The 12,637-nt window shown below is 48.3% G+C and overlaps 1 protein-coding gene across 15 annotated transcripts in view, besides 1 other annotated feature; it reads left to right on the top strand.

Annotated features, from left to right (window-relative positions):
• Positions 1-12,637, top strand: part of ZNF423 (zinc finger protein 423) — a 371,756-nt gene that overhangs the window by 206,909 nt on the left and 152,210 nt on the right. Inside the window, exon 1 of one of the 15 annotated variants that reach the window (XM_047433810.1) lies at positions 11,871-11,928. The exons of the other annotated variants lie outside the window; for them this stretch is intronic. The gene's annotated coding sequence lies outside the window, so the exon portion shown is untranslated. Of the gene's footprint in view, positions 1-11,870; positions 11,929-12,637 lie in introns of those variants that run through there. 15 annotated transcript variants of the gene reach the window in all.
• Positions 3,149-4,348: an enhancer, noted in NCBI's record as "CDK7 strongly-dependent group 2 enhancer chr16:49681934-49683133 (GRCh37/hg19 assembly coordinates)". NCBI's record gives its function as "activates an origin of replication core promoter dependent on BRD2, BRD4, P300/CBP, MED14 and CDK7 cofactors, with strong dependence on CDK7, by STARR-seq in HCT116 cells {active_cell/tissue: HCT116}" and the evidence as "EXISTENCE:reporter gene assay evidence [ECO:0000049][PMID:35650434]".

Genomic DNA, 12,637 nt, shown 5'->3' with positions numbered 1-12,637 from the left:
ACTGGCTTTTTTTTTTTCCCCTTTCCTAGTCTGTTTAATTTCTGCAATAAAACTCGAGCTCAATTGCATTTTCAATATCAGTGCTAAGTAAATTTGTCTAAGGGATGGAGCTGCCTGGCAGGCTGTGTGTTCTGCGAGGTCAGAGGCTTCAAGGGGAAAGGTGGACGCGTCCTTGCCCTGCATGTCCAGCAGCCATGTGGGGGCGGGGGAGGGAGTGTTCTGGGAGTCTGAGCCTCATCCCCCACCCCCTCCACCATGAGCTGAGGGACCCACATCCAAGCCATGGATGGCTCCCAGTACCTTAGATTCTCTGTTTGTGTAATGAGAGCGTTGGGCTCCATCTGTATAATGAGGGGTCTTGAAGCTCCTTTCAGGGCTGATGTCCTGGGATTGTAAATGGCAGGGGCCCTCTGAGAATTTTGGCAGGTTGAGTTTGCTTTGTTTGAAAACCATCTTGTGCACGGGTAACTGTAGGTTTAGCTTAGACCCTGTTGGTTATCAATCAGGGCTCAGGGAGGTGACACTGTGTCTTGTGTCCCCTCAAACCATTCCAGCCATTGCCAGCCTCTCCTTGTCCTGTGACCACCTTATGGTGATTTGGGAGCCAGTAGCCAGTGACTATTTTAGGCATTATAGAACATTTGTCATATATAACGCCTTACAGATATTCACTGATTTCATCTTTAAAACAACTCTATAGTTGGGTCTATAAATAGTCATCCCCATTTTACAGATGTGAAAACTGAGACAGGTTTCTCCATCTGTAAAATTGAGCAAGGGTCATTCACTTGGCTAAGGTCACACACATAGTAAGTGGGGGAGCTGGGAGTCTAAGCCCTGCTGCCGGCTCTCAGCCACCAGGCAAACACAGATGTCTCCAAGGCCCGGGACACCCCCTAATGGTGAGGGAAGTCCTGGGGTGCTGGGCATGCAGGGGGGTGGGGGTCCCTCCTCCAAGAAGCCCCAGCTGAGCTCCATCTTCCACATGCCAGATGCAGAGTCTGTGCTCCCAGGCCTTCTTCTCCTTCAAGAAAAACCGTAAGTGGGCCAGGCGTGGTGGCTTATGACTGTAATCCCAGTGCTTTGGGAGGCTGAGGCAGGAGGATCCCTTGAGGCCAGGAGTTTGAGACCAGCCTGTGCAACATAGAGAGACCCTGTCTCTACAAAAAAAAAAAAATTAAAATTAGCCAGGCATGGTGGCACGCACCTGTGGTCCCAGCTACTTGGGAAGCTGAGGCAGGAGGATCGCTTGAGCCCAGGAGGTTGAGTCTGCAGTGAGCCATGATTGCATCACTGCACTACAGCCTAGGTGACAGAGGGAGACCCTGTCTCTAAGAAAAAAGAAAAAAAAAAAGCCAAAAGTGACTGTGAATTAAGGAACAACAACAACAAAAAGTTGGGAATTCTTGATTTGTAAATGTTGGCATTTTCACAAAATCACTAATACTGATAACTGGGTGGCCCCCAGACTGTCCAGTGGGAGGACAGCCATGATGACCTATGACCCATTGCTCAGGGCATCATTTCTCCCAGTCCAGCTGGCTAAGAGCCCTGGGTTGGAAGTTCAGGCCTAGCTCTTCCAGTCACTTTGTGATGTCAGGATGTGACCTAACCTCTCTGTTCTTTTTCCTCATTACTGGGGTGACCACACAACTTACTGTGTAAGCTCAGCTGTTTATGAGGGTGAGAGGGATTCACTAACTGAATGGGATGCTGGGTTCCATCCCAGGATGCCTGGGTGTGTGGCCCCCCACTTACTCGTAATATGGGGATAATAACAATAACAAAACCACCATGACCACCACCACTGCACAGAGTTGCTCCAGATGTCAAATGGATAATGGGTGTGAGGTGCTGCGCAAAATGTTAAATGCCCTGTAGATTATGGGATTTACGATGAATGATAATAGTGTCAGTTACATTAGGAACCCCTTTATCTTATTTAGCCAATGTTCATCCAATGTTTAGCAGTATGTAAACATTAACCACTTTGTAAGGTAGTTACTTTTAGTTTCCCCAGGACATGGGCACTCAGAGAGGGGCAGTAATTTTCCCATGGTCTCACAGCTAATGATGGCTGAGCAAGCCAGTGCACACTCTTACTCATGGCTCTGCTGTCCCTCAGGGCTGACGTCTCCCTGCAATTGACTGAGTTTCTTCAAGCTTAGCAGCCTAAGCTAAGTTTTGAGTCCCTGGAAGTTTTGTTAAGGGCCTTGGTGGCAGCTGTTCACTGTCACATGGCATTTCAGCAGCCCCCAGAGCTGGCTGGAGAAGGGCAGGCCTGGTCAGTCTCTGTCTTTGAGATGTCCAGTGACCTCTGAGTCTTTTTTCTCCCAAACCGAAGGAATGATCCCTACTTTTCCTTGCTTATACTTTGGGGATGATGAGATCCCATTCGTAAGAAACTCTCAGCTCCCTGGAGGAGGAATGAGTGAATAGGTGCTGCTATTATTTTTGCTAATAGCATAATTCTAACTCGAGATTTCAGGAAGAGCCATGTCAGCTTCTGGTCACCTTTGTGGAGCTCCTTGGCTTACCTCTGAGGAAAGAACCTCCAATAGCCTCATCCCTTTCCTTTCCCAGGGTGGACTTTTGATGTCCCAGGGGTCAAACTTAATCCTTTACACTTCTCCTGTCAGATATCTAGGTGCAGTACTGATGTTACAATTGAAGGGATTCTCTCTCTCTCTCTCTCTCTCCCTGTGTGTGTGTGTGTGTGTGTGTGTGTGTGTACTTCAAAGCAGTAAAGGGTTTCTTTAGTGTTTAATGTTTAAACAGTAATTAATTGACACGGAGATTGGACAGATAAGAGCATAGAAACCTAAGAATGCTGGGTACCTCTACACCCTTTGGAAAACTGGATATTTAGAGCAGGCATCCTAAATATGTGCTGAATTAAAAAACCACCCGAACTAGGAGATAGTAGAGAGCTGGGATACCTACCACCTGAGACTTACTCTGTACCCAGGGCAGGCACAGACATCATTAAGTGATAACAGACTGTAAGAGCTACAAAGCCTCTTAGAGACCTGTTCGTCGGATTCTCTCTATCAAGAGATGGGGAAATGAAAGCACAAAGAGGGGATATGCTTGCCCATGGTTACACAGTTCTGGAATCTGAACCTGGTCCAGTAGTGATCTCATCCACTATGGCTCATGGCTCCACCCTCTGGGCTTGAGGTTCTGCCCGCTTAGTCATCCCTTTTTTCCCCATGAAAGGTAGCATGTACTTTCATCTGAGTAGTTTTATTAACCTGTTTCCTGCTTGTGAAGTTTTGGGTGTCCAACAGACTTCTTTCATCCTGTACTCTCTCTGTCCTTTTTGGTTTAAGCTGGCAGTGTTTCTGTCAGTATAAACTTTTCAAGAACCTTGTGAGTCTCCTGTGTATGTCATGGGTATTTTCTCCATTATTCAAGATGGTCCTCTACAGATATTTCCTGGATAATCCCTTCTCTACTTTTGTCTTTTGCTGAGATTGCTCCAGAGCAATACCCCCAAATTTCCTAGATGCTCTCTAATTTGATCTAGGAGATCTGTGAGTCACACCCTTAATCTCACCAAAGAGCCTTTGTTGTGACTGAATACTCAATACTCTGGCATTTTGATTTTCCTGAGATATTAGCAATATGTGCAGTCCTACCTTCAGCTTTTTCTCCGGAGCATGCTTTCTTGTAAGTAAATCTCTTAGAGTTTTTTTTTTCTTTTTTCTTTTTTTTTTGAGATGGAGTCTTGCTCTGTCACCCAGGCTGGAGTGCAGTGGCATGATCTTGGCTCACCACAACCTCCACCTTCTGGGTTCAAGCGATTCTCCTGCCTCAGCCTCCTGAATAGCTGGGAGTACCTGGAATTACAGGCATGTGCCACCATGCCCAGCTAATTTTTGTATTTTTAGTAGAGACGGGGTTTCTCCATGTTGGTCAGGCTGGTCTCGAACTCCCGACCTCAGGTGATCCGCCTGCCTCAGCCTCCCAAAGTGCTGGGATTACAGGCGTGAGCACTGCGCCTGGCCTGCTTAACAGTTCTTTTCTTAATCTTTTTTCTTTTTAGCAGCAAGAAGAAACCAGCCCATACCTTCCACAGTTTGCTTGGAAATCTACTTAGCTAAGTATCCAAGTTTATCCATGAAAGTTCTGCTTCCCACATAACTGTGAGTCATAATTTCACTTAGCTTTCTGCCACCAAGTATCAAGGATCCCCCTTCCTTCAGTTTCACTGTCAGTGCCTTTATTAATATCCATATTTCTCTTAATAGTCTGTTCATGATGATTTAGATATTTCCTAAAGTGATTTAGGTTTTCTCTGATGTGTTCCTTACTTTCTTCTGAGTCTTTATTAACAGAGTCATTAATATCTATGTTTCCATTAATCTGTTCAAGGTTACCTAGGCTTTTAAATAAATCATACTCCTCAAAATTCTTCTACCCTCTGATCGCTGCCCAATTCCAGAGCCACTTCCATGATTTTAGGTATTTGTTCTCATAGCACCCCACTCCTGGTACCAAAATCTGTATTAGTTTGCTATTACTGCTGTAACAAATTACCATAAGCACAGTGGCTTAAAACAACAAACAAAAAATAGTATCTTAGAGTTCTGTAGGTCAGAAGTCTGACCCAGATGTCACTGGGTTAAAATTAAGGTGTTGGCAGGGCCGCATTCCTTTCTGGATGCTCTTAGGGAAAAATCCATTTCCTTGCCTTTCCAGTTCTTAGAGGCTGCTCACATTTCTTGGCATATGGCCTCCTTCCATCTTCAATACTAGTAATTGCTGGTTGGGTCCTTCTCATATTGCATCACCTCAACCTCCTCTTCTGCCTCCCTCCTGCACATTTAAGGACCCTTGTGATTACAACAGACCCATGTGGATAATCCAGGATAATCTCTTTATTTTAAGGTCAGCCAATTGTCAACCTTAATTCCATTTTACCATGTAACGTAACATATTCATATGTTTTGGAAGTTAAGACTTGGACATCTTTGGGGTAATTATTATTCTGCCTACCACAATCTCCAGGTTTGCTTCTGCATAGGCTATTTAAGCAGCAGGCTACTTTACCTGCCATCCAGTGAGGAAAGAGGCCAGCAACATTCATTAGTGCTTGGCATCAGACCCAGCCTAGCCTGGTCATCCACCACTGACTTTGCCTCAATGGCAGGTGGGGTTGTAAAGCTTAAGACCTGTACCTGGTTCAAGTCACGGGGCCTGGTACTGTGCTTGTGCATGGTGGACCTCAAGAAAGAGGGAGCAGGTCCAGCAGGGATATGGGCCTTGGACTGGCTCCAGGGCCTGGTGAAGCAGTGTAGCCTGGTGGTTAGTAAGTGGGTGGGGGCATCTGCCACTTGCAATGTCTGTGCGCTCAGAAGTTACTTTCCTTCTTGGAGTGTCACTTTGCACAGTTATAAAAAGGGGTTGTTAATAGTACCTACCTCATAGGGAATGTGTGAGAATCAATTGAGAAAAAGCTGGCAAAGGACCTGGCACATAGAAAATGTGTCATACAGCTGGGCGTGGTGGCTCACGCCTGTGATCCCAGCACTTTGGGAGGCCAAGGCAGGTGGATCGCAAGGTCAGGAGTTCAAGACCAGCCTGACTAAGATGGTGAAACCTTGTCTCTACTAAAAATACAAATATTAGCCGGGTGTGGTGGTGGGTGCCTGTAATCCCAGCTACTCAGGATTCCTACCGAGGCAGAGAATTGCTTGAACCCAGGAGGCAGAGGTGGCAGGAAGCCAAGATCGTGCCACTGCACTCCAGCCTGGGTGACAGAGCGAGACTCCTTCTCAAAAAAAAAAAAAAGAAAAAGAAAAGAAAATGTGCCATAAACAGTAACCACTGGATCTGCCTGTGACTTGTCATGTTGCCTCAGTTTCTCCATCAGTGAAATAAGATGAGGGAGGAGCTATGCACCCTCTCTTGCCCTCAATACACTGATGCTAGTTTTACAGGCAGGGATGTAATTGAGTTGAGGAGTATTCTGGGATGGATGGCTAGTTCTGGCATCAGGTGTGTGCAAGTACCCCTGGTTTCCCAAGAAGTGATCAGGAATATGCCCAGATGCCCCTTGAGCTCAATTTGGATCATTTCGTGTCTGGAAAGCCACCTGCTTAGGCTCTGGCTACCTCTGTGGGAACCACAATCTACAGTGTGCCCTGAAGCATATTCAGGTCTTGCAGCTCTTATTACCCCAGGCTCTAGGAAACACTGACTGGCTCTCCTCGGTTGTCCGGGCTGCTTTGTGTCCACTTTGGGCAATCCTCACCATCAGCTGATGTCACAGCTGACCTATCTGGCTGGAGATTCCTCTCCAGACTCCAACACAGTTCTACAGTATATTAGTTCATTCTCATGCTGCTGTGAATAAATACCCAAGACTGGGTAATTTATGAAGGAAAGAGGTTTAATTGACTCACAGTTGTGCATGGCTGGGAAGGCCTCAGGAAACTAACAATCATGTTGGAAGGGGAAACAAACATGTCCTTCTTCACATGGTGGCAGGAAGGAGAAGAATGAGAGCTGAGCAAAGAGGGAAGCCCCTTAATACAACCATCAGATCTCATGAGAACTTACTCACTATCGCTAGAATAGCATGGGGGAAACCACCCCCATGATTCAGTTACCTCCCACCAGGTCCCTCCCACCACAAGTGGGGATTATGGGAACTACAATTCAAGATGAGATTTGGGTGAGGACACAGCCAAACCATATCATACGGTATCTGTCAGGGCCTCTTGTCTCTCTGTGACCAACAGGATTTTGGGAACACCAAAGCCTCATCTCTCAAAGAGAATGGACAGCTCCTTTTTTGGAAGAGGAAACCTGAAAAGCATCTAGCATTGGGAGTCAGGAGACTCCTCTTTCCAGTTTGCTCAGTGCCCTTTGACTATTCCATTCCTACATGTCTCTGCTCATGGCAGACATCATCAGTTGATTGCAGCACTCATTTCTTTGGACCTGAGATAAGGCCTTGGAATCCTTCTGAACACAGGATTCTAGGCAACCACTACCAATTAGCTGGGCTTGTAAGTTTTCTTCTCTTTTCTGGGCCTCAGCTTTTCCATCTGTATCATGTGGGATTGGGTAGTTGGTTCCTGAGTCTAGGGTCCCATTCCTCTGAGCTTAGGGAAGGGCCACAGTGATTCCTATTCTTGGAGCTCTGTATGGGGGCAGCAGAGAAGCTCTGCTTGGTGTATTACAAAGCTTTGTCCTGTCGGGAACTGGTCTCCTTGGCAATTTTCATTTTTCTGAAGAAACAGTTGAGTGGCAAGGAGTCTTTTTGGGGACTTTGTGAAGCACTGTAAGGCCATTTTGTGTCTATCATGAAGATGGTCTTGATGGTTGGAGTATTGTACAAGGTGATCTTTATATTCATATGGCAGGGGCTATAGAGAGCATGAATTCCAGCTTCCCATGAGCCAGCAGAGGCAGTGGAGGCCCAGCCTCCTGATGGACTCTCTGCCCGTTGCCCCAGCATGACTCCCACTGGTGCCTTTCTTGCTCTACTTGGCCTCTCCTTTGCATGGTCTGGAATGTCCTTGGGGCAGGACCAAGGTGGGATGCACCCAGGCGACCCTGCAGTATTCAGCACAGTCCTGGGCACAAGAGGCCCTGAGGACTGGGATGGAAACCTTATTCCAATGGCTGGATGAGCTCTTGTTCCCTCTGTAGGCTCACGGTTTTTTTTTTTTTTTTTTTTTTTTTTTTTTTTTTTTTTTGAGTCAGAGTTTTACTCTTGTTACCCAGGCTAGAGTGGCATGATCATAGCTCACTGCGGCCTCAAACTCATGGGCTCAGGTGATCCTCCTGCCTCGGCCTCCCAAGTGGCTGGGGTTGCAAATACACATCACCATGCCTGTGTAAATTTTGTTCTTTTTTTTTTTTTTAAGAGACAGGGTCTTGCTATATTGCTCAGACTGGTCTCAAACTCCTGACCTCAAACGATCCTCCCACCTCAGCCACCCAATGTTCAGGGATTACAGGCATGAGCCACCATGCCCGGCTGGATGGTCATTTTTATTCACACAGATGGAACTGCCCAGCTCAGGAATGTCCTAGTAACCTGGAACTTCCTGGGCTCAGCTATCTTCCCCCCAAACTCAATGCAGAGAGTCCCCCTAGTGTTCTTTTTAGGGCCTCTTGCATAGCTTCGATGGCAGGAGTTCACTTCCTCTTCCATGTGTGCCCCCCACTGCAGGAAGGTTCCCTTTCGGCCCACTCCTGTGAGTCTGTGGGCCAGTCACTCTCCTGCCTTGGCCCGAGCACCTTCTCCAGCATCTCTGACCTTGATTCTCTGTGACAGAGGAGCCGTGAGCTGTGGCTCCCAGCCATTCTGGGCGGCCACTTGCACTGCTCAGCCTAGATGAGGTGTGTCCGAGGCAGTTTTACACACTGTAGCATCAGCCTGCTGAATTCATGTCCTGCTCCATGCTGGTCACCAAGTGTGACCACATGAGCTTGGGAATCACCTGGCTCTTTCTGCTGCTGACGTGTTCTGAAGCCCAGTTAATGTTCTTTTTTCAACTTAATTGAATTTTTATCAAAAATTCTCTCCTCTTTTATGCTTGTTTTCTTTCTCTTCCTGCAGCAGACAGCAAAAGCCTCATATAACCCATTTCCTATTTGGCCTTTTTGCAGGATTAGTCATTTTTAAATGACTTTAATCTCCATTTTGCAAGTGTGTGTGTGTTTTTTTAACTCATTTTTGTTATAGTTCTTTGATTGCATTTACTCTGGGGGGCAGGGGAAGCATGGGTCTGTCATTAGTCATTGTACTTCCCACTTGATTTTCTCATGCTTCTCCTCCCAAAGTGGGGGGTGGGGGGTAGTGAAGCCTTGTGGGTGAAAACACTGACTGAACAGGACTAAGGGGGGGTTCACATCCTGACTCTGCTGCCTGCTGGCTGTGTGGCACTGGGCAAGTCACTCAGTCGCTCTGTGCCCTGGTTTTCTCATCTGTAAATGGAAATTATAACAGTCCCTAACTCATTAGCCTATTGAGAGGATTGAATGAGTGAGTACACATTAACTCTTAGAAGAATGCCTGGCACACAGCAAAATCGATGCAAGTATTTACTTGAAAATAAAAATGTAGCGACTGAACAGGACTTTCCTTGAACCCACCTTCTTCCTGAATTCTGGAATGTTCATGTTGGAGGGGACTTTGGGATTGCCTTGGCCACAGTTGCAGGTGTGTGTGTGGTGTCCAGCATCCAGCATGAGGAAAGTGTCATTGCTATAAGAGAGGAGAACCTTGGGCCAGGCGCAGTGACTCACACCTGTAATCCCAGCACTTTGGGAGGCTGAGGCGGGTGGATCACTTGAGGTCAGGAGTTCGAGACCAGCCTGGCCAACATGGTGAAACCCTGTCTCTACTAAAAATACAAAAATTAGCCGGGCATGGTGACATGTGCCTGTAATCCCAGCTACATGAGAGGATGAGGAAGGAGAATTGCTTGAACCTGGGAGGCAGAGGTTGCAGTGAGCCGAGATCACACCACTGCACTCTGGCCTGGGCCACAGGGCGAGACTCCTTCCCCTCCTGCCCCTGCCAAAAAAAAAAAAAAAAAAAAAAAGAAAAGAGAACCGCTTTCTCTGCTGACGCCCCTGTAGATACATCCCGAGCTTTGGCCCTAGCTTATCTCTCTAGCCTGTTTCTAGAGCACTGAGCTAAGTCCCCCCAAAGCAAAATGCATTTGGAGGGGGTGGGATGGCAGCAGGCGAGGTTGAATGTTCTTTGAATAAAAGACTTTAAACAGGGCAATCTGAGTTTGGGACTTTATATGTCAACATGCCCATTTTCCCTGATTGGGCCTTTTCAGTTTAAGGAGCCTTATTTTCATTTCAATTCAGATGATTATAATCTCAGCAGTGGCTCAGCTTGTTGCTCCCAGAATAATACGCTTTGCTTTAGTTTCAAAACTTGTTTGCAGAAAAATAAAGCCAAGCAGCCAGCCTGCAATGAACCTTGGGTACTCTGGTGCCGGGCAGGTTAAGATTCTCCTTTTCAAAGCCTACTGGGTGAATGACTGATGTGGGGCCTCGGGACCAGGTTCTGTACTCCTACAGGATGAAGTTTGGCCAGACACTAAATGGGGCATCTGGCTTGGTACTGGGGGCCAGTTCCTCACCTCCCTGAACCCCACTTCCTCATCTCAGAAATGGGAATGTTACTGCAGACAGCCAGATATGGTTGTTGTGAGGATGAATAGAAATTAATTGCGATAATAGACATACTTAGCACAGTGCTGGCACGTGGGACATTCTCAATAAATGGAGCTGTTAATATTGTTAGCACTTGTGGCACTAATTAGTACTAATTCTTATTATTGGCAAAATAGTGCTTTTGTTTAACAACTTTATTGAAGTATAATTTGCATACCATAAAATTCACTTGTTTGAAGTGAGCAACTCAGCCAGTCTTTGGTAAGTTTACAGAGCTGTGCAGTCTTCACCCACAGTCTAGTTTTAGACCATTTCCCTCATGTCAGAAGGATCCCTGTCACCTGTGCAGCCAGTCCCTGCTCCCATCTCCAGCCTCGGACAGCTGCTAACCTGCCTTCTGTCTCAGATGCGCCTTATTCTGGACATCTCATGTCAGTGGCATAATAGTGCTTTCTCCCATTAGTTTTTCTCATCCACTCCTCCCAGTGATTCCCTTTTTTCAGATGCGTAAAGTGAGTGGTTAAGAGGAATGTTCAGGGCATGGATGAATTCATAGAGGAGCTGGGAGGGCTCTGGCTCTGAGTGAGTGTCTTCTGGTCTTCAGGTGGTGTGAAAGGTTTAGGAGCAAATGAACCCTGGCAGAAATATCTGTTCAGGCTTGTCCTAGGGACAAGAGTGATAGTGGTTTCACCTGCCCAGTTGTTGAGACTTCTCCACACATCAGTTGCTGGGTGGGTTCCAGCCAGTTCCTGTGTCTCTCTGAACCCTGATGAGCCCCTCCCAGAAATGCAAATCATGGGCCAGCCCCAGCCCTCTTCACAAGGCAGGCTCCAAGGAGATCAAGTCCTGAGGACCCTGGAGGCTTTACACGTGGGCCTCTCCCCTTCTTACCCACGCAGGAGTGGTCTTATTTGACTGTTTGGCCCCCAGAAGCTGGTCCAGGCCCACATCACGATCAAGGGGCCTGAATGTGGACAGTCCTGGCATCAGTCTCTGGCACTGTCATTTCCCAGAGCAAGTCTCTGAGGCCGTGCCTCAGTTTCCTCGTCTGTCCAGTGGGAGTGGACCTGGCCACTCATTTGCAGTTGTGAGAAAGCACTTAGCACTGAGTGCTGGGCACACAGGAAGGGCTCAGTGGCAGTTTGAGTGAGTCTGAGTGAAGACATCAAAATAATAAGAAGCCAGTCCAGCCTGGCCTGGAGCGGGGGCCGAGTAGGTCCCCTGGCCCCAGCCATCTCCTCCCTGGGGTCCCTTTTGTCTGTGCCCCAGAGAGCCCAGCTGGCAAGAGCTGGGAATTGGCAGGCAGGGGCTGGGGCGCCTCCCACTGCATCTCATCTGGGGAGCTGGCCACGACTGCTGCATCCTTCCCGTCTGCCGAGCCCGTCATGTGAGGCCCCCGGGGGAGAAGGTGCTGGTGCTCTGGGAGGGTGTTCCAGGAGGCCCCTTGAGCTGGGCTGGGGAGCTGGGCTTCAGAGGTGGGTTGGCTGCCGGAAGCCTTGCAGTCGGGAGCTTTGGAGAACTGCGAGCTTCGGAGAGCCGCATGCATCCCGGTTGAGCTGTGCCAATGGTGCCAGGGGGGTCAGGTGGATCTTCACACAATCAGCGCTGCGGGGGCCAGGGGGTGGGGGCGGGGCCTAGGACCAGGCTCAGCCCCAGCTGTGAGGGACCCCTCAAGACCCCCCAATCAGCCTTTGTTCTCTCTTTAAGTCTTAGGATCGGCCTGGGACAGCAGAGGCAGCTTGTGTGGAGAGCCTTGTAGGGAAACCACAGGTCTGTGATGTGTGTGTGTGTGTGTCTGCAGGTGAATGTGTGTACATGAGCGTGTGCATGTATATTTAAGTTTGTGAGTGATAGTGTGAGTGTGTGGGAGTGATGGTGTGAATGAATGTGTGTGATGGTGGGTGTTGTGTGTGTATGTAGGTAGGCGTGTGTATGCGCATCTGTGTGCCAGTGTTCACCCGTGCTGGGAGCATGGTGCGCCTGCCCCATCCCTTCCTGAAGGTCTGGGCTGCCTCTGGGCCAAGGTTACGTCTGGGTTACGTCTGTGAGGCTCTTCTGAAGACTCAGCCAGGCTGGCTGGCGGCTGGAGAGGCGGGGGCAGTGGTTTATTTCCTCGGGGTTACAAGAGCAAGGTCAGCGGAGCCGAATCTGAGCTTTTGTTTGTCTCTCCCCTGCCCGCAGCAGCCTGCGGTCTGTTTCATTCATTATTAAGTTTTAAATCCAGCCGAAGAGAAACTTGAGCCTTGGAACTCACTCCCTGCCCGGGCTGGCTCTGCTCGGCCCCCGCCGGGGAATGTCTCTAGCTTTATTCACTGTGTCCTGTGTGCCTTTGTTTTCCCAGAAACGGCCTACCCTTAGGTTTGTTTAGTTTTCCTCTGAGGCTAGCCGGGCCAGCAAACGAGGGGGGTTGTGGGGGCTGTCCCCAGGGAGGGTGGGACTGGCTGGAGTCTGTACAAGGATTGTCTCTTCCTTGCCTTTG

The sequence above is a fragment of the Homo sapiens genome, chromosome 16 (assembly GCF_000001405.40).
Source record: "Homo sapiens chromosome 16, GRCh38.p14 Primary Assembly".
NCBI classification, from domain to species: domain Eukaryota; kingdom Metazoa; phylum Chordata; class Mammalia; order Primates; family Hominidae; genus Homo; species Homo sapiens.
The sequence above is the reverse complement of the archived record's forward strand: the minus strand, read 5'-3'. Positions and strand labels throughout refer to the sequence as shown.